The sequence below is a fragment of the Homo sapiens genome, chromosome 4, assembly GCF_000001405.40.
Source record: "Homo sapiens chromosome 4, GRCh38.p14 Primary Assembly".
Taxonomy (NCBI): Eukaryota; Metazoa; Chordata; class Mammalia; order Primates; family Hominidae; genus Homo; species Homo sapiens.
In genome coordinates this window covers 76,358,676-76,385,472 of record NC_000004.12, presented here as the reverse complement: position 1 = coordinate 76,385,472, position 26,797 = coordinate 76,358,676, and the positions used below count along the sequence as shown (strand labels likewise).

Genomic DNA, 26,797 nt, shown 5'->3' with positions numbered 1-26,797 from the left:
TTGGCATAGCATCTTATTCTTGCTTTATGCTGATAATGTCTCTTGAATTTCTCTGTAAATACAAGTTTTTGAAGCGTTCTTCTTTTCCTTGCATTATCTTTCTTTAGTTCCTCTGGTTCTTTTTTTTCTGGGTGTTTGCTTGTTTATTTGATCTTGATCTATTTATTACTTTGGGATTTTTCTTCAAGTGTTCAGTGGTTTTTGGTTTTCTGTTTATATTCTACAATTAGGCAATAAAAAATCTGATGGCAAACTTTCTATTCATGGGCAGAATTTGATGGCTTTGCTTTGGGAGGATTAGGTATGGCATCAACTATGTACGGGAGCATCTCCTACAGCATCTCCTATTCTGGGAGATCCCTCAGTGCCTGATCTTAGAAATCTTTGTGTATTTCTCTGTAGTAGGACACCTGGAGTTTTGGATGGTGGTGTTTGCTGCCAGGTATTTTAAGTGGGTAGGAGGTAGGGATTGACTTTTTTATGTACAGAATTTCAACTAATTCTCATGTTTTCATGTAAAAAATGTATTTCTATCTCCATGTTGAGCTGGAAGTAAGATTTGTTTTAGAAGCAGAGTGTTGGTTGTAGAGAATGGATTAAAAGGGGTCAAGCTTGATACAGGGAGACTGGTTAAGGTATTCTCATAATCTAAGCGAGAAATTATTAATTAGACTTTGAACTGCAGCAGTGAGGGAAGGAAGTAGACATAAAAATGAATTGAAAATATATATAGATCTTTGGAAGTTACTAGCTATAAGGAAATGTGTTTCTCTAATGAAGATTAATTTGCATGGCTTTTTTTTTCAGAGCAATGAATTGCATGAGAAACAAAAGTTTTATTTGAGGCAGTCAGTCATTGATTTGCAAACAAAACTTCAGGAGATGCAAATGGAGAGAGATGCTATGGCTGACATCAGGTTGGGATTTGTGAAATTATTTTAAAGTCACATATTTTCATTATGTGAAATTATTTTAAAGTTTTACTGTTTGTAGTAAAACTACTTGTGTGAATATGAGTTTTATCAATGTTATTTATTTTCTTTCATTTATTTCATAGACGAAGGGAGAGTCAGTCCCAGGAGGATTTAAGAAATCAGCTTCAAAATACAGTTCATGAACTTGAAGCTGCCAAATGCCTTAAAGAGGACATGCTGAAAGACAGCAACACACAGATAGAGCAACTACGAAAAATGATGCTTAGTCATGAGGGAGTGCTTCAAGAAATCCGGTCAATCCTAGTTGACTTTGAAGAAGCCTCAGGCAAAAAAATATGTGAACATGACAGCATGTCTACTCTGCACTTCCGCAGCTTGGGCTCAGCTATTAGTAAAATACTAAGAGAATTAGACACAGAGATTTCTTATCTTAAAGGGAGGATATTTCCAGTAAGTGGTGAGAATGCTACTTAAATAATTTTATATTAAAATGCATTAAGAGAATAGCATTAGATGTATAATTTTTAAAATTCTTAAAATAAGCCAAGTTCTCATTTTTCTGAAATAACAGAAGTTACTTCCACAGTAATCTCTCATAATAGGAACTAGCTTGGTTTACCGTATAGCTTCATGAGAGTATAGACAAAGTAAAAGATCTAATAAAATATGGGGATAGAATGTATCTGATTTTAGTATTATTTTTACTTGCATTTAAAGCATTCCTTTAGTTGAAAATCTCCAGATTTTCCAAGCCTTATATTTACCAGTAACTAAATCAGTGTCTCTTTTTAAAAACCAGGTAGAGGATCAACTTGAAGCACTGAAATCTGAATCACAGAACAAAATAGAACTACTTCTGCAACAACACCAAGATAGGTAGGTTTCTGACTGAGGTATGGAAAAGCCTAGCGAAACTAAACCACAGTTTTACAGTGTTTCGGCCACAATTCCAAAATCTAAACAGCTCTGAAACACATAAGTTTTTTTATAGGTTTATAGGAAACTCATGTTAACATTTTGTTTTCCTGACCCTGGTTATAAAATCGTAAGGAAGATGTCATTTGAGATGATTACAATAGGAGTATTGCTGTAGGAGAGAGAGAGAGAGAGATTAAGCTCAGCTCCCAATACAAGGCCAAATGGGGATTTATAGCCAGGGGGCATGGTGAGGGGGTCTGTGGATGGAAAATTACTGAGAAAAGGCATCAAGAGTAGGGGGATTCTTGCTAAATGCAGGCCAAGGGCTTAGATATCAAAGGCAGGGGATGAAGAACTTGATCAGATATCGAGGGTGGGAGGACTAAACTGACTTGGCAAGATTCTTGCTAGGTCTGGGCTAGGCAGGCCAAAGGTTGAGGCATAGTTGAAAAGAGGCCTCAGAAGAGTCTGACTAAAGTTTGGTGAAGGAGAGAGTTTTTGTCACTCATTTGTTGGAAAAACCTGACCAGAGCTAATGTAAACCTTTCCATAGTCTACAATTTAGTGTGAATACTTATAAATTATTGCATTCATGATATGTTTCGTTAATGGGACACTTCCCTAGATCTCATTGGGGGTGTCATATAATATTTACTACTTGCAATTTATTACCATTGTAAAATAAAAAAAAATTCTGAATTCCAAAACTATCTGACTCCCAAAAGATTTGGATAAAGGGTTTTGGACTTGTTGTAGACACTTGTTATTAAAAGAGTAGCATATACAAAAGCAAAGCAAAATACTAAATTTGAGAGTATTGAAAATCATTAATTTTTAAAATAATTCATAGTCAGGAAAATCTTCTGTATCAAATGACAATCACCACATTCTTTTTATAGGATTGAGCAGTTAATAAGTGAACATGAAGTTGAAATAACAGGACTTACTGAGAAAGCTAGCAGTGCTCGAAGCCAAGCCAATAGTATCCAGAGTCAAATGGAAATCATTCAGTATGTGGTTTGAAACTGTTAGTCATTCATCTTCATTTTAAAGATATTATTCTCATTAACTTTCTGTTCTATAATCTTTTAGAACTTGCTTAGTAAGATTTCATAAGAAAGTGAAACATTTTTCTAACATTTAAATGAACAGGAAGTATTATGTAACATAGGTACTGTTATCTGACCATATAAGAAGTATTTTTGCAAGTATTTGGGGCTCCTGGGATTGGCTGTTTTAAGTATTCATATTTGTCCATTCTTACACTGCTATAAAGAACTAACCAAGACTGGGTAATTTATGAAGAAAAGAGATTTAATTGACTCCTAGTTCCACAGGCTTAACAGGAGTCGTGAGTGGGAGGCCTCAGGAAACTTACAATTATGACAGAAAACAAAGGGGAAGCAAGCACATCATACCATGGCAAAGCAAGAGAGAGAGAGAATGGGGATGTGCCACACTTTTAAATCATCAGATCTCATGAGAACTCACTCGCTATCACGGGAAAAGCATGGGGGAAATCTGTCCCCATGATCCAGTTACCTCCCACAAGGCCCCTCCCCTGACACATGGTGATTACAATTCAGATTTGTAATATCCCAAATATCATGTCTTTCTCACATTTTAAAATACAATTATTGGCTGGGCATGGTGGCTTACGCCTATATTCCCAGCACTTTGGGAGGCTGAGGCGGGCAGATCACGAGGTCAGGAGATCGAGAGCATCCTGGCTAACACGGTGAAACCCTGTCTCCACTAAAAATACAAAAAATTAGCTGGGCATGGTGGTGGGCACCTGTAGTCCCAGCTACTCAGGAGGCTGAGGCAGGAGAATGGCATGAACCCGGGAGGCAGAGCTTGCAGTGAGCCAAGATCACGCCACTGCACTCCAACCTGGGCGACAGAGCAAGACTCCATCTCAAAAATAAAAAAAATATAATTATCCCTTCTCAACAGTCCCCTAGTCTTAACTCATTTAAGCATTAACTCAGAAATTCAGTCCAAAGTCTCATCTGAGACAAAATAAGTCCGTTCCACCTATAAGCCTGTAAAATAAAAAACAAGTTTGTTATTTCCAAGATACAACTGGGTTACAGGCATTGGGTAAATGCTCCTATTCCAAATGGGAAAAATAGGCCAAAACAAAGGGGCTGCAGGCCCCATGCAAGTCCAAAATCCAGCTGTGCAGTCATTAAATCTTAAAGCTCTGAAATAATCTCCTTTGACTCCATGTCTCACTTCCAGGGCACACTGATGCAAGGCAGGGCTCCCAAGGCGTTGGGCAGCTCTGCCCTTGTTGCTCTGCATTGTACAGCCTCCGCAGCTGCTTTCACAGGCTACACTGAGTGCCTGTAGTTTTTCCACGTGCACAGTGCAAGCTGCCTGTAGATCTACCATTCTGGGGTCTGGAGGGTAGTGGCCCTCTTCTCACAGCTCCACTAAGCAGTGCCCCAGTGGGGACTCTGTGTGGGGGTTCCAACCCCACATTTCCCCTCCACATTACCCTAGTAGAGGTTCCCCATGAGGGCTCTACTCCTACAGCAGATGTCTGCCTGGACATCCAGGCATTTCCATACATGCTATGAAATCTAGGCAGAGGTTTCCAAACCTCAACTCTTGCTTTCTGTACACCTCCAGGCTCAACACCACATGGAAGCTGCCTAGTCTTGGGGCTTGCACCCTTTGAAGCAACAGCCCGAGCTGTACCTTGGCCCATTTTAGCCATGGCTGGAGCTGGAGCAGCTGGGACACAGGGTGCCATGTACCGAGGACGCACAGAGCGATAGAGAGGGCCCTGGCTTACAAAACCATTTCTTCCTCCTAAGTCACAAGGCCTGTGTTGGAAGGGGCTGCCTAAAGATCTCTGACATGCCCCGGAGACATTTTCCCCATTGTCTTGCACCTCTTCTTATGCAAATTTCTGCAGCCGGCAGCTTGAATTTCTCCCCAGGAAATGGGTTTTTCTTTTCTACCACATGGTCAGGCTGCAAATTTTCCAAACTTTTACACTGTGCTTCCCTTTTAAATAGAAGTTGCAATTTCACACCATCTCTTTGTAAATATATATGACTGTATGCTTTCAGAAACAGTCAGGTGACATCTTGAATGCTTTGCTGCTTAGAAATTTCTTCTGCCCGACACCCTGAATCATCTCTGTCTAGATCAAAGTTCCACAGATCTTTAGGGCAGGGGCAAAATGCTACCAGTCTCTTTGCTAAAGCATAGTGAGAGTGATCTTTACTCCAGTTCCCAAGAAGTTCCTCATCTCCATCTGAGACCACCTCAGCCTGGACTCTTTGTCCATATCACTATCAGCATTTTGGTCACAACCATTCAACAAGTCTCTAGGAAGTTCCAGACTTTCCCTCGTCTTTCTGTCTTCTGATCCCTCCAAACTGTTCCAACCTCTGCCTGTTACCTAGTTCCAAATTCACTTTCACATTTTCAGATATCTTTATAGCAGTGCCCCACTCTCCTGGTACCAGTTTTCTGTATTAATCCATTCTTACACTACTATAAAGAACTATCCAAGACTGGGTAATTTATAAAGAAAAGAAGTTTAGTTGACTCACAGTTCCACAGGCTTAACAAATCATGACTAGGAGGCCTCAGGAAACTTACAATCATGGGGAAAGCAAACACATCTTACCATGGCGGAGCAGGAAAGGGGGGAAGTGCCATACTTTTAAACCATCAGATGTTGTGAGAACTCACTATCATGAGAACAGTATGGGGGAAATCTGCCCCCACAGTCCAATCACCTCCCACCAGGTCCCTCCCCTGACATGTGGGGATTACAATTTGACATGAGATTTGGGTGGGGACACAGAGCCAAACCGTGTGTGTGTGTGTGTGTGTGTGTGTGTGTGTGTGTGTAATATATATGAATATATATAAGTAAAATGTATGCATATGTGTAGAAATAATTTTATTTGAGTTGTATGTTAAAACTTTTTATATGGACATTTTCTATCATATACAAAAGTAGAGAGAAAATAGTGTAATGCACTCCCATACAGCTGTCACCCAGCTTCAGCAGTTTACAATATATTTGAGGTGAAACTTTTGAGAGTCAGTTTTGGAAAATAAAAGACTATTGGCTTAATAATGCCATATAAAATAACTAGTGGTAGTGTCAAAAAGCTAGAATACTCAGGTGTTACTCTTATTCTTAGTTTGCTATTTGCACTTATTCCCCTTCTAAACTCTTCTTAGAGAGCAAGCAAGAAACCAAAACTCTATGTATATGCGTCAGCTCAGCGATCTGGAATCTACTGTTTCTCAGCTACGTTCTGAATTAAGGGAAGCCAAAAGGATGTATGAAGACAAGGTGAGTTTAGGTTTTGCTGGTCTGTTTCTAGAGACTTTAATATCCAGAATCAATATTATATTAGTAATAGTTTATTTGAAAATAAGGAATCAAAGTAATTTCAAATTAAAAGCAGTTTATAAGCTGGAGTAAGAGCATGCTAAATTATATTTTAAACTATTTATAAACTATTTTTATTTAAATTGTGTACTCTGATTCATTCTTAGCAAAATTTTTTGCATAGTTCAAGTGAGTTTCTAAAAAATGCATTAAAAATGAGACCATCTTAATTATTTTTACTTAGCTAAACTTTAGCAAATACTTCCATACCAGCCAGATCCCCCTGCTACTCAATATTTTTGGGGCCTACCTCCTCTCTTACTTCAACTCCTAACTCCTAATCATTGTGAAGCTACCAAACTGAATTAATGTTAAGATTAATTAAATGAATTAATTACATAAAAATTAATTAGGAGGATAAGTCATCTCTCATCATCATGTAATTCCTTTTAAAACCACATTAATATTTGATATTCTGTTTTTTTCTTTCACTTTCCATAGCTAAAGAGAAGCTATTCAGTATCATTGTCATCTGTTTATCCAGAGTTTAGACTTTTGTTCATTTCAACCATTTGTAAAACAGTAAGACCCTAAAAAACAAACAAGGAGCTGCCATTAAGAGGAGTGGTGGTCTTCATTCCCTGTGAGAAGGGTGATCACCCAAGGCGGCTTGCCTGGGACAGTCTCGGTTTACACCCGCTAGCCCAGTGTCCTGTTTTATGAATGCTACCTCTCATCTCCATAGTGTCCCCATTTGGAAGATAAAGTCTATATTTAGTCATCCTACCTATAAGAGACCCTTAGACAGCCAAGCAGAAACAATTTACATACAGTTCTGTCACTTGTAGTCAGTTTCTCACACCTTAGCTATTTGGAGCAGTAGGTTAGAAGAAATAGAGTATAAGGAAGCTGCCATACTCCCTTTATAAAATGAAACCAATTCTATAGGGTAACAGTACATGGAGGAAAGCTCCATATATTGCAGCACGAATTCTTCCAGACATTTGCCCTTCTTTGGGCACCCCATTTTAATTACCGCTATCACTCCAGCCGGCCACAGGAGGGGGCTGTTTCTACTTGGCTCGCGCATGGAAATAAGATACCTCAACATTTATCAAAGCTAAGATAAGGATGGAATTTAGACAGGACTTTACTAAAGTCTAAGCCATAGAGAGTAACATGAAACTGTATAATCTCAGTTATAGATGTGGGTCCTTTACAGCAGTGTCTTCCAAAGTAAGAAATATAGTTCATCTTATGATCCAACACACATGCAACTGAAGCAAGATTCATAAAACAATATTTACTCCTATTACATGTGATGCCAGCTATTTTCTGTTCTCTTCAGATGCTTATTTGAAGCTCACTAAATTGATTTCATAATTTATTGGGGGGTTGCGTTTGAATAACACTGCCTCCTTTTGTAAACCTCCTTGCATAACCCTTAACCTAAATCCTTGTGGCAATGTTATTTCAACCAGTGCCGCCTCTGAGCAACCTTAAGCAACCTTAGACTGCTTAAAGGGTACACTCAACAAACAAAAGGTCAGAGAGGAACACACGCTTTTCTCTGCCTCTCTGAAGCCTGCTTTTTATGTTCTAGTGTCTTTTCTCAGGACAAGCTTTTCCCCTGATGATTTATAGCAGGAATGTCCACCCCAGTCTGGGCAGACCAAGCCTATACCAAAAGGTCATGACCGCACCCTGCAGACAACAGCAGGAGGGGCTGATTTTAGTGCACCATGAGGTGGGAGGGTGCTTTTTCACTTGGGTCTAGTGGAGGTAGGCACTCTGGCAGAAGTGAGAGCTGACAATCTGACAATGAGAGAGGAAATAAGAGAGCTGTTGTGTCACAGTCCAATATAATAATGCATATTCATGAATAATCACAAATCATTTTGGAAAGATTAAGTACTCATTGTCTATTGACAAACTTTTTGAAAAGCCGCAAAGTACTAAATAAAGCTCAACTCACCTGTGGTTTCTTACATGATTGGTAACTGCTATAGCTTTCCATTATACTGTTGTTTGGAAAAATTATCCTTTCAGAAGCCTCACCCATTGTTTGCTAATTTGCATTTGGTCCAATATACAGTATCATGCTGATTTGGACATATTGGGAAATTTTTTCACAAATACTGAAATGTCCATCTAAAATGTATAAAAAGAATTTCTAAGTTTTTATAAGCATTTAAATCTTTGGCATTGTAGAAGCACGAGATCCAGATGAATGACTGCAAGCTTTTTACATGAATGTTTTGGGGTCATATAGATACAAACATGATATTAGAATCATTCTCTTATTTTGCTCTAATGTAAATAGTGGCTGAGCAAGAATTTTGACAGTCTTAAATAGTAAAGAGCTAACGGAAATAAGGAGGGCATATCAGCTTCATTAGTTTTAATAAATCACTGAGATTTATAATACACCACAGTGACCCTAAATAGAGTTGGCACCTAGTTGATGGTTAACTAGACTGTCTTAACAGTAACTCCCTTTGGTTTGGTCAGGGAGCACTGAGAGATGACTGCCATGTAAATATAGCTAAGTACACTCTGGCCTAAGGTGACATTAATTACATGGTGTAGCTGAGCAAGGAAAATCAAACAAGTTAATAACAAGGATTTCACTTGGGATCATAAAAAATTGTATTGTTATAAAATGTTTTTGTTATAATGAATTGAATATAAAATCTAAAAACACAAATTATTCTGCTTTATTTTTCATTTTCATATGACTTGGCATTGCTAAAGCCTATTAAAACCTTAAAATCTATTTTTTCTCTGTTGCTTCAGTGCATATTTCAGTATATACCATTCAAATAACAACAAGGAAAAATATCAAAGGACATAATACATAAAAGCTGTGATTAAAAGTGAGATTCATGGCCAGGTGCAGTGGCTTACACCCATAATCCCAGCACTTTCGAAGGCTGAGACAGAAGGATTACTTGAGCCTAGGAGCTTGAGACAAGCCTGGGCAACATAGTGGGACTCTGTCTCTACAAAAATAAAAACAAAAATAAAAAGTTAGCTGGGCATGGTAGCGTGCGCCTGTAGTTCTCGCTACTAGAAAGGCTAAGATGGGAGGATAGCTTGAGGCTGAGAGATTGAGGCTGCAATGAGCCATGATCACACCACTCACTTTAGCCTGGGCAATAGAGGGTGACCCTGTCTCAGAAAAAAAAAAAAAGTGAGATTTGTGTGAAAGGAAACTAATAAAGGTGTGTTGATATTAAACATCAACATGTTTTATGAGGGGCAGTATTAGTATTTTCTCCCAAGGTCAGATTTCTTCATTTTAAAAAGTGTTTTCATTTTTAAAAATTGATGACATGACAGGTCTAAACAAAACTTTTCCAACTAGAATGCATAAATTAAGAGAAAACTTGTTTTGGAAGTTAATATTTCTCTTCAGATTAACACAGTTATTTTATGCTGGTGAACATAGAAATTGTACTTCAAAAAAATGTGAGATGTAGCTTTCGTAGCTTACAAAAGTGTTTTACTGTAATGCTGTTTTCTATTCTTCTCTTTCCACTTTAGGAGAACCTCCAGAATTCCCCTTTACGAATTTGGACCAGTAGAAGCTGTCACTATTGGCTCTGTAGATTTGGCTTTACCCTTAACTTTCGCTTTTTGACAACAAAAATATCTCCTGATGTTGATTCAGCATTTATTTTTACTACTTTGAAAGCAGTTGGGGCTGAATTTTGTATTAAAAAAGTGATGATTTAGTAGCACTGGCTGGAGCTATATACTGTGCAGGAAGATTCTGTGCAAACCTCTGCATAGTTCTGCCAATGCACCGCCATGCTGGCCTGTAGCATCCCTTATTATTCCATAGCTGTGTCTTTTTGAGCACAGAAAAACAGAAAACACCACCACCAACAGACAAACCAAACCTCGTGTGATTTGATATGATTGGCAATATCTCTAAAATCAATGTGAGATTAGAATGAAATCCCAATACTCATTTGTCCAGTGATCCAAACCAAAAAGTGCATTCATAGATGGTGAAAGGGAAAACCAGTGCTACTACGTAAAAATAAAAGAAAAAGAAAAAATCTTTAATACATCTCAGATGTCAATATTTATTCTGGATATTTTAAAAGGCTTTTCTTTATAGTGTTTTTTACAGCTGTTTATATCAACTCAGCTGCTACTTCAATGGTTTTCCCTTTCACTCTCTATTTATCTTTTTGATTGATTAATATAAATGTTTTTACTCTAAAAAGTGAAAGGTAAAAGCAGACCTATAGCAGCTGAGTCAGTACTGACAACTACAAAACAAATGTTCCTGCAGGGGGCTGGAGGAACTTCTTATACTTAATAGACAGATGGAAAGATAAGACTTGGCTCGTTTCTTTTTCTTTCTTTTTTTAATTTGGTCTCATGTCAAGTTTGATGTTATGAAATGATTATCCAGAAGTTTTTTTTTTTTAAGTGAAAGCAGACAAAAGAGAAAATCTTAATTTAAGCTTTTAAAGCATATATACAAATTATTTTCTTTGCTCAAGGATAGAAATGGTTTATGCCAGGCTAGGAGTAGAAAACATTTATTTTAATCATATGATTAATTCAAATTGGAAATGTTCTTGTTAAATTTATAGCTCAAAAGACAGGTGGAGAATAAATTGTTTCAGCTTTATTAATACTGTTCTTGTGGAATAAAGTATTAGAATTGAAAGGAACATGAGAGATCGTCTAGAATACTCTTTCCAATTACAGATGAAAAAAATGGAAACACAGGGAAGTTATGTAACAGAAACTAGACAAGAACCTAAGGTGTTTGGCTCTTCGCCTGATCATATTGCCCCTCGGATCATGTTCATGTACCCATTCCTTGCCAGGCAAACATAATTGTGTAACAGTAAAGTTTGTGTTTCTTCCCCTTACTGTATTTACTAAGTGTGTACTGATTTAGTCTTTCCTGATAATAACAAAAGTGAAGAGATTTTATCAATTGATATTGTTCATTCATTTTTCTTAGGAAGTAACCTGTGTTACAGAGCTTGAATTTTTATGGGACTTTTTCATTTCTTTTCCTGTATATGCCCCAAAAGGAGCACAAGAAGTACTTTTTTGTTTTTTTAAGAGAGTGTCTCACTCTGTTGCCAAGGCTGGAGTGCAGTGGCACGAACATGACTCATTACAGCTTCAAACTCCCAGGCTCAAGCGATCCTCCCACCTCAGCCTCCTGACTAGCCAAAACTACAGGCATGCACCACCATGCCAGGCTAATTTTATTTTTATTTTTGTAGAGATGGGGTCTCACTATGCTGCCCAGGCTGGTCTCGAACTCCTGGCCTCAAGTGATCCTCCCACCTCAGTCTCCTGGAAAGTACTTCTTTATTAGATTAATAGAGTCTAGGAATACATTTTAGACAGTGATCTAATATTTTACGTGTACTTAATTCTGGTGAAATACTTTTTATACATAGCATGCAGCCAGATACAAAGTCAGTTTAGGAATATAGCCAATATAAATATTAAAGTCTATACTCTGATTTCTGTAGGTAAATGGGAAACTGATAGTCCTATATTAGTACTTTCTTAGTCATATATGTATATGTGGATATATATATAACTTCTATTCCTTATGATTATTATTAAAGAGAGATGTGTGTATGTATGTATAGATAATATAATTCAATATGTGTTGAATAAGTGAAGATCTTTAAAAATAAATAGTAAATAGTAAAACTAGAAAGTTCTCAAGAAAAAGTTAGTCTTAGTCATATGTTCTCTAGTTAAGAAAGTTTTATCATAGTACATCATCCAAACCAGGTTTTATTATTGACAGTAGATTGGAAACCTACTAAATAGCCACCTTAAAGCTAAGAAGGAATATGCACCATTTATGCAGACATGAAAGATTTCCTATTACTAGAAAGTAGATGATAAAATAGTAATGTAGATACCTACTTAAAGTTAAGATATCACCATATAACTAAGTATCAACACGTTCTCATTGTTTTAATATCTTATTATTTAAGTTATGATATTGTGTGGCTCAGCTAAAATCTAAACCCTTAGTCTCCACAGTCTGAGATCCTAGCCTCTTAGCATACGCTGAACCTAGACATAAAGAACTATAGAGGCCGGGCGCGGTGGCTCACGCCTGTAATCCCAGCACTTTGGGAGGCTGAGGCGGGTGGATCACCTGAGGCCAGGAGTTCGAGACCAGCCTGGCCAACATGGCGAAACCCCATCTCTACTAAAAATACAAAAATTAGCTGGCCATGGTGGCGGGCACCTATAATCCCAGCTACTTGGGAGGCTGAGGCAGGAGAATCATTTGAACCCAGGAGGCGGAGGTTGCAGTGAGCCGAGATCGTGCCATTGCACTCCAGCCTGGGCGACAGGGCGAGATTCCATTTCAAAAAAAAAAGAACTATAGAAACGCTATTAACAGTCATGCACTTTATGGCATGTGTCATAGAAATGCATATTCAAACAGATCAAACAGCTGCCTTGTCAGAATAAAATGCACTTTAACATCCTCTAAAATTGGTACTTTTATTCCCATTTTATATTAATAGTTGAACAAAATGAGGGTTAGAATGGTTAAATAAATTGTCCTACTGTAAATATAAATATATATAAATTCATCCTTTAAAAAAGTAGTGGCTATAAAATAATGACAATAGCTAATAACTTGTTACCATTCATTCTTTTATATTCAATGCCTTTTATTACCGAAACTTTGATATTCTGAAGCAAAATAGCTCTTCTAAGTACAATACAGTTCATTTATTTAGGCTCTGCAGCATGTTGTTTATGCCATATCAAGCTTCCTTTTTTTGAAACAGTTTTGCTCTGTCACCCAGGCTGGAGTGCAGGGACACAATCATGGCTCACTGCAGCCTTAACCACCCAGTCTCAAGCAGTCTTCCCACTTCAGCCTCCCAAGTAGCTGGGACCCCAGGTGTGCACCACCATGGCCAGCTAACCTTTAAAAAAATATTTTTTGTAGTGATGGGGTCTCCCTGTGTTGCCTAGGTTGGTCTTGAACTCCTGGGCTCAAGGGATCCTCCTGCCTTGGCCTCCCAAAGGATTACAGGCATGGGCCATTGTGCCAACCCTCAAGCTTTCTTAAATACCAAATTATAGAACATGTCTTCACAGAAGATAAATCTTGAATAGTATGAAAACAGGAGACAGATGTATTACAGGCAATTCCCAAATTCAACAGTACTAAATATTTCATTTTGTCTAATTTCCCTGGCTAAACTCAGCATAGATTTTCTTTAAAAAAAAAAAAAACTTTACAAGACACATCACAATACACTTTTTTTTTTTTTTTTTGGAGATGTAGTTTCACTTTTGTCACCCAGGCTGAAGTGCAATGGCACGATCTTGACTCACTGCAACCTCTGCCTCCCGGGTCCAAGCGATTCTCTTGTCTCAGCCTCCCAAGTAGCTGGGATTACAGGCGCCCACTACCATGCCTGGCCAATTTTTGTATTTTTAGTAGAGACGGGATTTTGCCATGTTGGCCAGGCTGGTCTCAAAATCCTGACCTCAGGTGATCCACCCGCCTCGGCCTCCCAAAGTGCTGGGATTACAGGCATGAGCCACTGCACCCAGCCTCACAACGAACTTTTATTTTTGTTCTCAAAATAATACCATTTGTTTTCCAAAGTCTATATTTATTTTATATTACCCACTGTCATAATCAGACACTGTTCAATTTGTACTTTCCTTTCAGACAGAAGAGCTGGAAAAGCAGTTAGTCCTTGCCAACTCAGAGCTAACTGAAGCCCGGACAGAGCGTGATCAATTCAGTCAGGAATCTGGAAATTTAGATGATCAACTTCAAAAGCTGTTGGTAAGATTATGCTTTAAAATATGAATAAGACTAATTCTGGGAAGTTTTTCACTGAAATATATCACAAAACTCGTTTCCTTTATAAAATTACAAATTTACAAAATATTTGTGCATACATGCAATAGATTATTTTAGACACAATTCAAGTTTTGCATATAAAATATGATATTCTGTATACTTAACTTTTTTCTTAAGCAGAGCTATTACAGTATTAGGTGAAGGAGATCTTGACATAGCCATAGTCTTTCAAGTAGATACCATATTCCATTAAATTGAAGTAGTGTTACACGTTCATTTTAAGGCCAAATAACATTCAAAACACATAAAAATTGTGTATATAGAAATTTGGAATGGACGGTTAGGTGAAGTTGTTTTAAAAGAAAAGGACAGTATGATTGTGCTCATAATGAAGCCACTCTGTCCTCTGTTAGAGGAACTATAGGATGAGAAATTTAGGAAAGGAAATGTTTGGAATCCCCTTTTGCGGTATTAGTGGTATAACAGAATAAATTTCTCGGCTTACCAAACCCCATTCCAGGGAATGGTGCTCTTTGCTGGTAAAGCCATCCTTTGCAGGCTGACAAGGGTTTGATGAGCTGAGGTAAGGATAGAACTGAGAGCTGTGTAGAGAAGCTCTTAATCTTGGCATAATTCTTCAGTTCTTTACCTAACATTTGCATGTTTTTCAGTGTTCTCCTATCTAATTTGAAAATCTTGGAGACTGAATGTCTGAAAGATCCTCAAACCTGGCCTCCCTTTTCATTCTTACCATCACCACCTCTCGTTCAACCCCTCATTACTCATTGCCTGAAGCATGGCAGTCTCCTTACTGATGTTCCCAACTCCAGTTTTTCTCCTCTTCACTCCTTCCTGTAAAGGGCTGCCGCATACATCTCTCTAAAATGTAGCTCCGATGATGTCACTGTTCAACTCAAAATTACTTTCTCCATAAAGTCAGACACCCTCCCTTTCAATACTGTTCATGATCCATCACCCTGCTAACCTTTCCAATCCTTTCTCTCTACCCGGACCCAGTGCACCAAGCAAACACACAGGCCCCTTTCCTGTCCCTTCTTCCTAATCTCTACATCTTCAGGTCTAACTCAAATACTATCCTGAAGCATTTTGATCCCTTTAGTGAGATTCTGTCTGCTATTCCTTATCTTTGTTCCTTTAATGAAAAACCACTTCCAGTTACTTATGTCTATGTCTTAACTTTCTCTTGGATCCTAAGTCATTTGAGTGTAGATATATCTTTGTTTTTACTAGTCTGACTAGAGTTTTTGCTCCTATTCAACACTATGTATTTTTTAAGTGACTGAAAAGGGAGGTAATTCTATTCACAGCCCAGATGCTACTCCAATTCCAGTACCAGCCACTATTCTGCCATCTCTCCATTACTTATCATTTTTCCTTTACTTATCATTTTTCCTTCATGCTTTTGAGCATTTCTTTATTATAGGAGCATACCTGATGTGAGACATAATGTCTTTCTTAGAAAATGCAAGACTTAAAAACAGGATGACTTTTAAAATCTACTGTATTTTCCTTTTCATTGTATATTATTTGAGGTCTAGTCCCTCGAGATAGACTAGTAATGCTAGAAATTTTAAGCAAAATGTTAACTTATTTTTCTTGGAAATAATTGCTCTTAAGCCATTAAAAAGGAATCAGATTCCAAAATCAAAGGTGTCTGAAATCACATAAAAACTCCAAATATGATATAAAGACAATATGTTTTATCTTAATTATTTAATAGCAGGGAGGAAAAAAGCATTCCTCTCTTTTTTTAGGCTGATCTACACAAAAGGGAGAAGGAGCTGAGTCTGGAGAAGGAGCAGAATAAGCGTCTGTGGGACCGAGACACAGGCAACAGCATCACCATTGACCACCTGCGGCGGGAACTGGACAACCGGAACATGGAGGTGCAGCGCCTGGAAGCCCTGCTCAAGGCCTTGAAGAGCGAGTGTCAGGGCCAGATGGAGCGGCAGGTCAGTGCCTGCACAGGCTGTGCCATCGCCAAACAATCTCCTCTGGGGAAATAAATATTTTATGTCTAAATAGAGCTTTTTATTTTTAACATATATGGACCTAAAATGGCTCCTAAAATAAAGCTATGGATTCTGTGAGCAATTTATGAAAACCTGATACTTATTTTTCATTTTATTTCATTTTTTGTTTATTTATTTATTTATTTATTTTTAGATGGCGTCTTCCTCTGTCACCCAGGCTGGAGTGCAGTGGCGCGATCTCGGCTCACTGCAACCTCCACCTCCCGGATTCAAGCAATTCTCCTACCTCAGCCTCCCAAGTAGCTGGGATTACAGGCGTGTGCCACCATGCCCAGCTAATTTTTTGTAGTTTTAGTAGAGATGGGGTTTCACCATGTTAGCCAGGATGGTCTCGATCTCATGACCTCATGATCTGCCCACCTCAGCCTCCCAAGGTGCTGAGATTACAGGCGTGAGCCACTGCGCCCGGCCTATATATAGACACTAATTAAACTAAATGTGTCAAGCTTTATCTCACTTGTACATTGTTGAAGAACTAAACTCTTATCCCATTGCCTTTTCACGTTTACCTAAAAATTGGTAACCTAATAATTGCTTATTTCTGCTGCAGAGAAGCATCAAATTATTGGGCAGCCTGAGAAGCAACAGGGTTGAAGGTTTCTAACAGATTTTTTTGCTTTATTTTTCTCCCAAAAGAGACTTGCCTCTCTTTCCCCAAGTCTCATCACTGATTGAGACTGATGAGTGCATTCCATTCCGGTGCACCCTCCAGTAGCAAAACGTGGACTGCCTTCTTAATAGCAGTGTACTTTCTGTGCTAGGAAGACATGGTTCTAATGCCAGTTACTGCCACAGGGACATAAAAAGCATCCCACAAAAGTGTAAGCTTCTCAGAATGTGAAAGCAAACCAAGGGACTGGTCTTGGCTTAGACCCAGGCAAAGCCATTAACCTACTCTCTGGCTTAACCTGGGCAAGAAGAAAGATGAAAGGACCAACTGGAAGTTAGAATTTTCAGCTTTTCCAAACAAGGATCAGAGAATATGAATGTGTGTGTGGATAAAAGCCATTATTCATTTTTTTCCTCAGAGGTAGAATTAAAGGTAAAGTTGGAGGGAAATTAAAAATAAGGGGTAGTTATTGTAAATTCCGCCACCCTTCCCCCCATTGCCAGGGTTATCTTAATCTAAATCAGTACAGAAAACATCCACAGAGGAAACTTCCCAAGACTGCACTCTAGAACACCGTTGTGGAGGAGCGTTATTATTTAATTAAGCCCTCTCCACCTTGGTCTAATTAGCATATGTCAGTCTTACATATGTTATAAGAGCTAGAGTTCTGACAGCAAAATGATTGAGTTAATTTAACTAGACATGGCTGGGTACAGTGGCTCATCCCTGAAATCCCAGCACTTTGGGAGGCCGAAGCAGGAGATCATTTGAGGCTGGGAATTTGAGAAGACCAACCTAGGGAACACAGTGAGACCCCCATCTCTTAAAAAAAAAAAAAAAGATCTTACTAAACATTGCCTAATTCATGATTTCATGCTTTTAAGTTAACTTGTATCTCTTGAGGTTGCCTATACCTATCCTCCCAAATCTATGAAATTCTCTTTTCTTTAACAATCAGATGGCAGCAATTCAAGGAAAGAATGAAAGTCTAGAAAAAGTATCCTCCTTGACTGCTCAGCTTGAATCCACCAAAGAGATGCTGCGCAAAGTAGTAGAAGAGTTGACAGCCAAGAAAATGACTCTGGAGAGCTCAGAGAGGACAATATCGGACCTGACAACTTCTCTCCAGGAAAAAGAGAGAGCCATCGAGGCTACCAATGCAGAGATCACAAAGCTCCGCTCCCGGGTGGACTTGAAATTGCAGGAGCTGCAACACTTGAAAAATGAAGGGGATCATCTCAGAAATGTGCAGACAGAATGTGAGGCCCTCAAACTGCAGATGACAGAGAAGGACAAGGTGATCGAGATTCTGCGACAGCAGATTGAGAACATGACACAGCTGGTGGGCCAGCATGGACGAACTGCTGGAGCTATGCAAGTAGAAAAAGCTCAACTGGAGAAAGAAATTAATGATAGGCGGATGGAACTAAAGGAACTTAAGGTCTGTAGAGTTTTTTTGTGATTTAACTTCTGAAATATCATTTATTAGCAGGTATGACCTGTACTGAAAAGTGGTTCTTGGTATCTGTGGACACTCTGAAACTGTTGGAAGGTGTTTGTTTCTATGTGTATATGTGTGTTTTTGTGAGAAAGGATAAATACTTTTATCAGATTATAGAAGGAATGGATGACTCGAAAATGGCTCAAAATCACGGGTACAAAAGAAAAAAGATCAGAAAATCTATGAAGTCTTTCCTGATACCACAGGAAAGTATTTTCTCCCTCTTCAGACAGACCTAAATTTGAACCCCGTCTCTCACTACTTAGTTACAGTGAAACATTGGACTGTTTGCTGAATCTTGGCTTCGATATCTGATAAACAAAACCAAACCAAAAAGTAAACAAAACAAAAAACTCCCAACAACCTGTTGGGTTACTGTGAGGCTTAAATCAGAAAGTATATATCAAGGAATGAGCCTATTAATAGTTTCTGGCTATTTAATAATTTAAAATTTAAATAACTTAATAATTTAAAATTTAATAAATATTAGTTTCTTTCCCCTGTTTTGGTCTCCTTCTGAACTTTCTCATACTTTATTTGTACCTGTTAAAACCTGGTTCACATTCTATATTGCCGTGTGTGTGTGTGTGTGTGTTTGTGTGTGTGTTTATGTAGCAGTGTCTCCTTTTCCCTACAAGATTGTAGACTTCTTCAACCAGGGTACACATCTTATTAGCCTTTGTACCTCCTGCCCCATATTTTTGTGCCTTGCACCCAGAAGGTGCTCGATAAATACTTATCAAAATTTAACACAATTTAATGGGTTTTTTAAAAAAATTGATTTCATAGGATTAATGTCACCTTTATCTCTGACTTGGTGAGTAGTAGGAGACAAATCACATATACTGTAGATGCTTCAGTTTCCTCCTTCTAAAAATAGGGCCAGCAATAGATAATTATCCATCTTATGGAAATAAACAAGTTCATTGCATTAAAAATAGAATTTTCTATTGCTTAAGTTTTTACCTGATTATATACATTTTTAAATGGCCAAACTCACCATGAAAAGGGACATAGAAAGGATTCTCAATGGCCAGCCCTACAATGAAACCCTTAGAACAGGTGTGATGCAGGGCAGAGCATATCAGAGGAGAAAGGATGGTTGTTCTACCTTGCTTAGGAAGATCACTAGTGGATTGCTAGTGTGTTAAGGTTCTAAACAGGAGAATCCCACTCTTATACTCTAAAACTTAAATCAATTTAATCCTCACAAAACCTTATGAGGGAGGCACTATTATTATCCCATTTTACAGCTGAGGAAACTGAGACACAGAGAGTTTAACTTTCTGGAGAGCAGCACTACCTTGTGGTTTGAACCTAGGCAGCCTAAGTAGATGTTACTGTGCAGTGGTTCTCAGTGAGAACCGGAATCGCCTGGAGGGCTTTTTAAAGCATGGACTGCTGGCCTGCTCCCAGAGTTTCTGACTCAGTAGGTCTAGGATGGGGTGTGAGATTTGGTGTTTCTGAACAAGTTGCCAGATGACGTGGATACTGCTGGTCCTGAGAGCATCCATCAGGATCTGTGTTAGTGCCTCAAAGGAATGTGGAGCTCCTGACTAGAGGGCCAGTGAAAGCTTCAGAGAGAGCTGGGAACCTGAAATGGGCAAAAACTAGGCAAAGAGAAGGAAGGATGGCATTCCAAGCCCGGGAAGAAGCCTAGTCTGTAATTTAGCCTAGAGATGGTGTGGGAGACATTAAAGGTTTAGGGGTAGGAAGGAGGGGGTAACATGAAGAAGACAGTGTTGGAAGTGGATTAATCTGGCATCAGTATGCAGAAGTGGCTTGGAGAGAGTAAAACTAATTTTCAGTTCCTAAATATGGAGCTGGAGCAGCTTCAGGGAATAATTTCCTAGGTAATTAGAGTTTCACACAGACACAAAGAACATAAGTTTAAAACTCAAGTCCTAATGCCACATCCACTTCCCTCTGTGATCTGATAAGAAAAAAAGGTGGGGGAATCATAGCTGTAGAAGGTATGGTTTCTCTCCTGGTTTCTGTCCCCTCTTCAGAGTGGGTACTGCACACATTGACAGCAGAGAAGCAGAGTGACTTTTATTTCAATAACTGTGGGTCCCCAGAGCTAGACCTTTCTTAAAAACAAATAAATAATAAGACTAAGAAAGGACTGAATTCTATCAGCTGGCCTCAAGAGGTGGAACAGGAGCAGCACTCGTCCTATGTGTGTTGTGATGCCTCAGGTTGTCCCAGGGAAAGCCCTCCCCGTCCCTTACTGCATGAGGTCAGCTGGATTTAGTGTGACAGTTGCCAGGAGTGGCTAGGCAGAGATCAGATAGCCCAGATTAGGGCCTTTACTGCCCAAACCCATCACAGGCGGGCAGTGAGACAAGCCTGGGGCTCCCCACCAATCCTTTTTGAACAGCCAAAAGCTTGTCATGTGGCTATATTTCAGATGTATCATTGGTCTCCACAGTTAAACTGCTGCTATAGCAGTCAAATTGCATCTGCCAGGATACTAAGGCCAGTAGGGCGATAATTTGGGGAAACAATCTGATGACCAAAGAAAGTCAATATTTTTTTCAAATGTCACTTATTCGGAAGGATCTAGGTCAGTTCTGTCCACCAGAAATACAGTGTAAGTGACATATATAATTTTAAGTTTTCTAGTAGACACATAAAAGAAATGTGAAATTAATTTTAATAACATTTTATTTAACTCATATTCAAAATATAGTGTTTTTAATATTATAATCAATACAACAGATCACCAAGATATTTTATATTCTATTTTTATACAAAGTCTTTGAAATCTGGTGTATATTTCACACTTACAGCACATAACTTAGTTTGGCCACATTCCAGGTGCTCCAGAGTCATGTGCAGGTATTGTGTTAGACGACACAGACCTACACCCTGGGAAGAGAGGGGTCCTCCTAGGAAGCCTTACCAACACAGATAGAGACCAGTTAGGAGGCACTGTGGCAATCCATATGCAAAGTGATGGCAGTCCAGACCTGCAGGTTGGGCAGGATTTGATCAACAATTGGGTATGAGGGGCGAGGGACAGGGAAAGACATGGTGACTTTGTGAGTTCAAACTTAGACTGGCAACATGGTAGTGCCTCTAACAGAGAAGAGTCAGAAAGGATTGTAGGGGAAGGCCCTCTGTGAAGAAGGAATAGGAATGTTTGAGTCAGAGTTTGCAGAAGCATGCCATGCTGGGGGTTTCTGACAGTTAGTTGGAAACGCCGAATTAGAGTTGCCATATTCACATTCCCTACCCTAGTCAAAGGACCAGATACTTTCACCACCACAAACCACCCCAGTCTAAGCTCCCACCTCTCTTGTTTGCTCTTCCAGTTGCCTTCTCACTGGTCTCCATGCTTCTCCCCCTACCCCCACGCCAACCACTGTTTTCCTTCATACCAGAGCCAGAGTTGTATTTTTAAATTGTTACACTACATCACTCTCATACTCAAAACTGTCCAATGACTTCCTGACTCACTCACAATGCATGCTCAAGTTCTTACATTGCCTCTGAGCAACCTGATCATTCCCTTGGCCCCTCTCTGACTTCATCTCCTGCTTACCCCAAGCTCACTTCACTCCAGCCCTACTGATGTCCCTGCTCTTCCCCAGACACGTTACCTGTACACAGAGCTCTTCCCAGACTGTCCACGTGTCTTGTCCTTATGCTCAGGAGCACAAGGAGCATCTGCTTAGATGTTACATCATCAGAGAGGCCTTTCCTTGCCAACTGTGGCAGGGTCCCCAAGACCGACCCCAGGTTTGATGATTCCCTAGGAGGACTCGCCAGACTCAGCATATAATCATACACAAGGCTAGGATTTATTACAGTGAAAGGATACAAAGCAAAATCAGCAAAAGGAAAAGGCACACGGGGCAAAATCCAGAGAAAGCCAGGCATGAGCTTCCAAGAGCCTTCTCCGAGTAGAGTTATGCAGGACATGCTTACTTCCTACTCCACCCCCTGCCCCAGCAAGACACCGTGACAACATCTGTCAAGTGCTGCTAACCAGAGAAGCTCATTAAAGCCTCAGTGCCCGGGTTTTTATATTGGAGTTTGGTCCCATAGGCCCCTCTACCTGGCAGGTATCCAGATTCCACGTTCCCAGAAGGAAAGCAGGGGTTCAGCATGAACACATTGTTTGCACAAACAGTTTAGGCACACTGAGCCACTCTTATTAGGGTGGTGGGAACCCTCCCAAAATCCAAGTTCCCAGACGACAGTCAAGGGCCAACCTTGTAAGCGGCCTTTTTGAGGAGAGCACCCAAACCTGCTATGTGAACTCTTTCTGCACACCAGCTTACCTCAAGTAGCAACCCCTCCCTTGCATTCATTCTGTACCCCTCACCTGCTTTTATTATTATTCTTGCCACTTCTCTTACCTGACATATTAAATATTTGTTTGTTTTCTTCTCTTCTTACTAGAGGAGGACATGAAGACAAAGACATTGTTTTGTTTATTGCTATCCAGGGCCAGGACTAGGGTGAGGTAACTGAGGTGCCCAGGTTAGAGGCCCTCACCTAGCTGCTTCACTTGCATTACCCTAGTCATAGCCCTGCTTCTATATCCCTTGCTTGTAAAATAGTTCCTGCCACAAAGAAGGTTCTTAATATGTATTTTTTGAGTGAATGGAGATAGAATAGGAATAATGAAGGGTTGTTGCAAGCAATACTAGGAATTGACATCTAAGGTTAAAAGAAAGTGAAATATTTTCCCACTTTCTATTGATGCTTTATAATAAAATACAAATTTAGTGTCCTGGGAAGTAATGAAAAGATAATAAATATAGATGGAATACAGATAGGAGGCAGAAAAGGATATTAAGTAGGAGACTGTTGTCAGATTTTAGGACTGTGTTAGCAGCTATCAATTATAACTATACATGTACATATTTTTTACTTCTCTATCCTTTGTATTTATCCATATATTTAGATATTAAAAGATAAAAAAGATGCAAAGATCCGGGAGCTTGAGGCCAGAGTGAGTGACTTGGAGCTGGAAAAGGTGAAGCTGGTGAATGCAGGCTCTGAGCGGCTCCGTGCAGTGAAGGACATCAAACAAGAGAGAGATCAATTATTAAATGAGGTGAAAACAAGTAGGAGTGAATTAAACAATCTTTCAGGTATGTTGCTTCAGCACAAATCCTACTAAAAAATAAGAGTCTTAGCAGTGAAGCCAATGTAGACCCTAGCACAATTGCAAAAGAAGGGTGTCTCACTCACATGACAAACATGAATAGTTATGCTGCCCCCATGGAGTTATTCATAGCATGAAATCTCATAGTTTTCATGAAGAGTTCCCACATCTTACACTTACTGACCTTAACTTTAGTCAGCCCTCAGTGTACTGGAAATTCTGTACTGAATTTCTAAGAGAAGTGTGAGGTGTCCAGAGTCCAGGCTTCCAAAAGGAAAACAGGTGTTCACATAAATCACATTGTCTGCACAGTTTTGTGTTTATGAAAGTGGAAAACCTTGAGTCCTTGGAGTCAAATAGCTTGATTAGAAGTTTACTAATGAAGTGACATGTGAAAATAGACATGTGAATTTATTGACAGGAAAAATCCATGGCCTTATATTAAACAGTGAAACACTCCAGTTTATGGTTGGTATGTGTATTAGTCCCTTCTCGCATTGCTGTAAAGAACTACCTCAGACTGGATAATTTATTTTATTTATTTATTTTTGAGACAGAGTCTCACTCTGTCCACCAGGTTGGAGTGCAGTGGCGTGATCTCAGCTCACTGCAAGCTCCGCCTCCCGGGTTCATGCCATTCTCCTGCCTCAGCCTCCCAAGTAGCTGGGACTACAGGCGCCCACCACCACGCCTGGCTAATTTTTTGTATTTTTAGTAGAGATAGGGTTTCACTGTGTTAGCCAGGATGGTCTCGATCTCCTGACCTCGTGATCCACCTGCCTCAGCCTCCCAAAGTGCTGGGATTACAGGCATGAGCCACCCCACCCAGCCCAGACTGGGTAATTGATAAAGAAAAGAGGTTTAATTGACTCACAGTTCTGCAGGCTGTACAGAAAGCATGGCTTGGAGGCCTCAGGAAACTTAAAATCGTGGAAGATGAAGGAGAAGCAAGCACATATTCACATGGCAACAGGAGAGAGAGAGACAGAGAGAGAGCACACAAAGGGGGAGGTGCTACACACTTTGAAACAACCAGATCGCATGAGAACTCACTCACTGTCATGAGAACAGCAAAGGGGAAATCCGCCCCCATGATCCAGTCACCTTCCACAAGGCCCCTCCTCCAACACTGGGAATTACAACAGGACATGAGATTTGAGTTGGGACACTGAGCCAAACCATATCATTCTGCCCCTGGGCCGTCCCAAATCTTATGTCCTTCTTACATTTCAAAACACAATCATGCCTTCCCAATGGTCCCCCAAAGTCTTAACTCATTCCAGCATTAACTCAAAAGTCCAAGTCCAAAGTCTCATCTGAGACAAGGCAAATCACTTCTACCTATGAGCCTATAAAATAAAAAACAAGTTAATTACTTCCAAGATACATGGAGGGTACAGGCACTGGGTAGATGTTCCTGTTCCAAAAGAGATAAATTGGCCAAAGCAAAGAGGCTACAGGGCCCATGCAAGTCTGAAACCCAGCAGGGCAGTCATTAAATTTCTAAGCTTTGAAATAATCTCCTTTGACTCCATGTCTCACATTCAGGGCATGCTGATGTAAGGGGTGGGCTTCCAAAACCTTGGGCAGCTCTGCCTCTGTGACTCTGCAGGGTACAGCCCCCATGGCTGCTTTCATGGGCTGGCACTGAGTGCCTATGACTTTTCCAGGCACATAGTGCAAGCTGTCAGTGGATCTACCATTCTGGGGTCTGGAGGACAGTGGCCCTCTTCTCACAGCTCCACTGGGCAGTGCTCCAGTGCAGACTCTGTGTGGGGGCCCCAACCCCACATTTCCCCTCTGCACTACCCTAGTAGAGGTTCTCCATGAGGGCTCTGCTCCTGCAGCAGACTTCTGCCTGGACATCCAGGCATTTCCATATATCCTCTGAAATCTAAGTGGAGGCTCCCAAGCCTCAACTCTTGCCCTCTGTGCACCCACAGCCCCAACATCACATGGAAGCTGCCAAGGCTTGGGGCTTGCACTCTGAAGCAACAGCCTGAGCTGTACCTTGGCCCCTGTTAACCAGAGTTGGAACTGGAGCAGCTGAAATGCAGGGCACCATGTCCCAAGGCTGCACAGTGCAGCAGGGCTCTGGATCTGGTTCACTAAACCATTTTTCCCTTCTAGGCCTCCAGGCCAGTGAGGGGAGTGGCTTCTGAGAAAGTCTCTGAAATGACCTGGAGACATTTTCCCCATTGTCTTAGCTATGAACATTTGGCTCCTCTTTACTTAGCAAATTTCTGCAGCCTTGAATTTCTCCCTAGAAAATGGATTTTTCTTTTCAACTGCATGGTTGGGATGCAAATTTTCCAAACTTTTATGCTCTACTTCCCTTTTAAATATAAATTCTAGCTTCAGGTTATTTCTTTTTTAATGCAAATGAGCACAGGCTTTTAGGAGCAGCCAGGCCACATCTTGAACACTTTGCTGCTTAGAAATTTCTTCTGCCAGATACCCTAAATCATCTCTCTCAAGTTCAAAGTTCCACAGATTCCTAGAGCAGGGGCACAATGCTGCCAGTCTCTTTGCTAAAGCATAGCAAGAATGATCTTTACTTCATTTCCCAGTAAGTTCCTCATCTCCATCTGAGACTTCTTCAGCCTGGACTTCATTGTTCATATCACTGTCAGCATTCTGGTCACAACAATTTAACAAGTTTCTAGGAAGTTCCAAACTTTCCCACATCTTCCTGTCTTCTTCTGATCTCTCCAAACTGTTACAACCTGTATCTGTTACCCACTTGCAAAGCTGCTTTCATATTTTCAGGTATCTGTAGAGCAGTATCCTACCTCTCTGGTACCATTTTTCTGTATTAGTTCATTTTTGCATTGCTATAAAGAACTACCTGAGAATGAGTAATTTGTGAAGAAAAGAGGTTTAATTGACTCACAGTTCTGCAGGCTGCACAGGAAGCATGGCTGGGAGGTCTCAGAAAACATAATCATGGTGGAAGGTGAAGGGGAAACAAGCACATCTTCACATGGTAGCAGTAGAGAGAGAGAGAGAGAGAGAAGAGGGAGGTGCTACACACTTTCAAACAACCAGATCTCATGAGAACTCACACACTGTCACAAGAACAGCAAGGGGGAAATCCTTCCCCATGATCCAATCACCTCCCACGAAGCCCCTCCTCCAACACTAAGAATTACAACAGGACATGCGATTTGGGTCAGAACACAGAGCCAAAGCATATTAGTATGGTATGAAGTATCATGTACTTCATAAAGTCAGAAGTTACTGAGCATTTACTATGCAAGACACTGTGGTAGAACCTGGAAACCCCACAATGAAGCTCACAGTCTAGTAGGGAGATAAACCTAGATAGAAATGGGTGAATAACCAGTGTGTGAGGCACAGTGAAAGTGTATTGAGTACAAAGATAGCACAGAGGATACAGAATTTACCTCCTGTAGGAAGTGACATCTGTACTGGG

General features: G+C 40.0%; 1 protein-coding gene across 15 annotated transcripts in view, besides 1 other annotated feature; it reads left to right on the top strand.

Annotated features, from left to right (window-relative positions):
* Positions 1-26,797, top strand: part of CCDC158 (coiled-coil domain containing 158) — a 108,831-nt gene that overhangs the window by 36,397 nt on the left and 45,637 nt on the right. For all 15 annotated transcript variants that reach the window (XR_938729.3, XR_938730.3, XM_011531911.2 and 12 more), the window contains 9 exons: positions 808-917; positions 1,058-1,385; positions 1,735-1,811; positions 2,753-2,863; positions 6,069-6,183; positions 13,937-14,056; positions 15,850-16,047; positions 17,697-18,179; positions 23,158-23,347. Coding sequence is in view for 13 of the 15 variants with exons in the window: in XM_011531911.2 (XP_011530213.1) it covers positions 808-917; positions 1,058-1,385; positions 1,735-1,811; positions 2,753-2,863; positions 6,069-6,183; positions 13,937-14,056; positions 15,850-16,047; positions 17,697-18,179; positions 23,158-23,347 (1,732 nt within the window). In the remaining 2 variants the exon portion in view is untranslated. The remainder of the gene's footprint in view (positions 1-807; positions 918-1,057; positions 1,386-1,734; positions 1,812-2,752; positions 2,864-6,068; positions 6,184-13,936; positions 14,057-15,849; positions 16,048-17,696; positions 18,180-23,157; positions 23,348-26,797) is intronic.
* Positions 4,395-4,899: an enhancer, noted in NCBI's record as "H3K27ac hESC enhancer chr4:77301727-77302231 (GRCh37/hg19 assembly coordinates)". NCBI's record gives its function as "activates a minimal SCP1, AML or CMV promoter by ChIP-STARR-seq in primed H9 embryonic stem cells {active_cell/tissue: H9 hESC(primed)}" and the evidence as "EXISTENCE:reporter gene assay evidence [ECO:0000049][PMID:30033119]".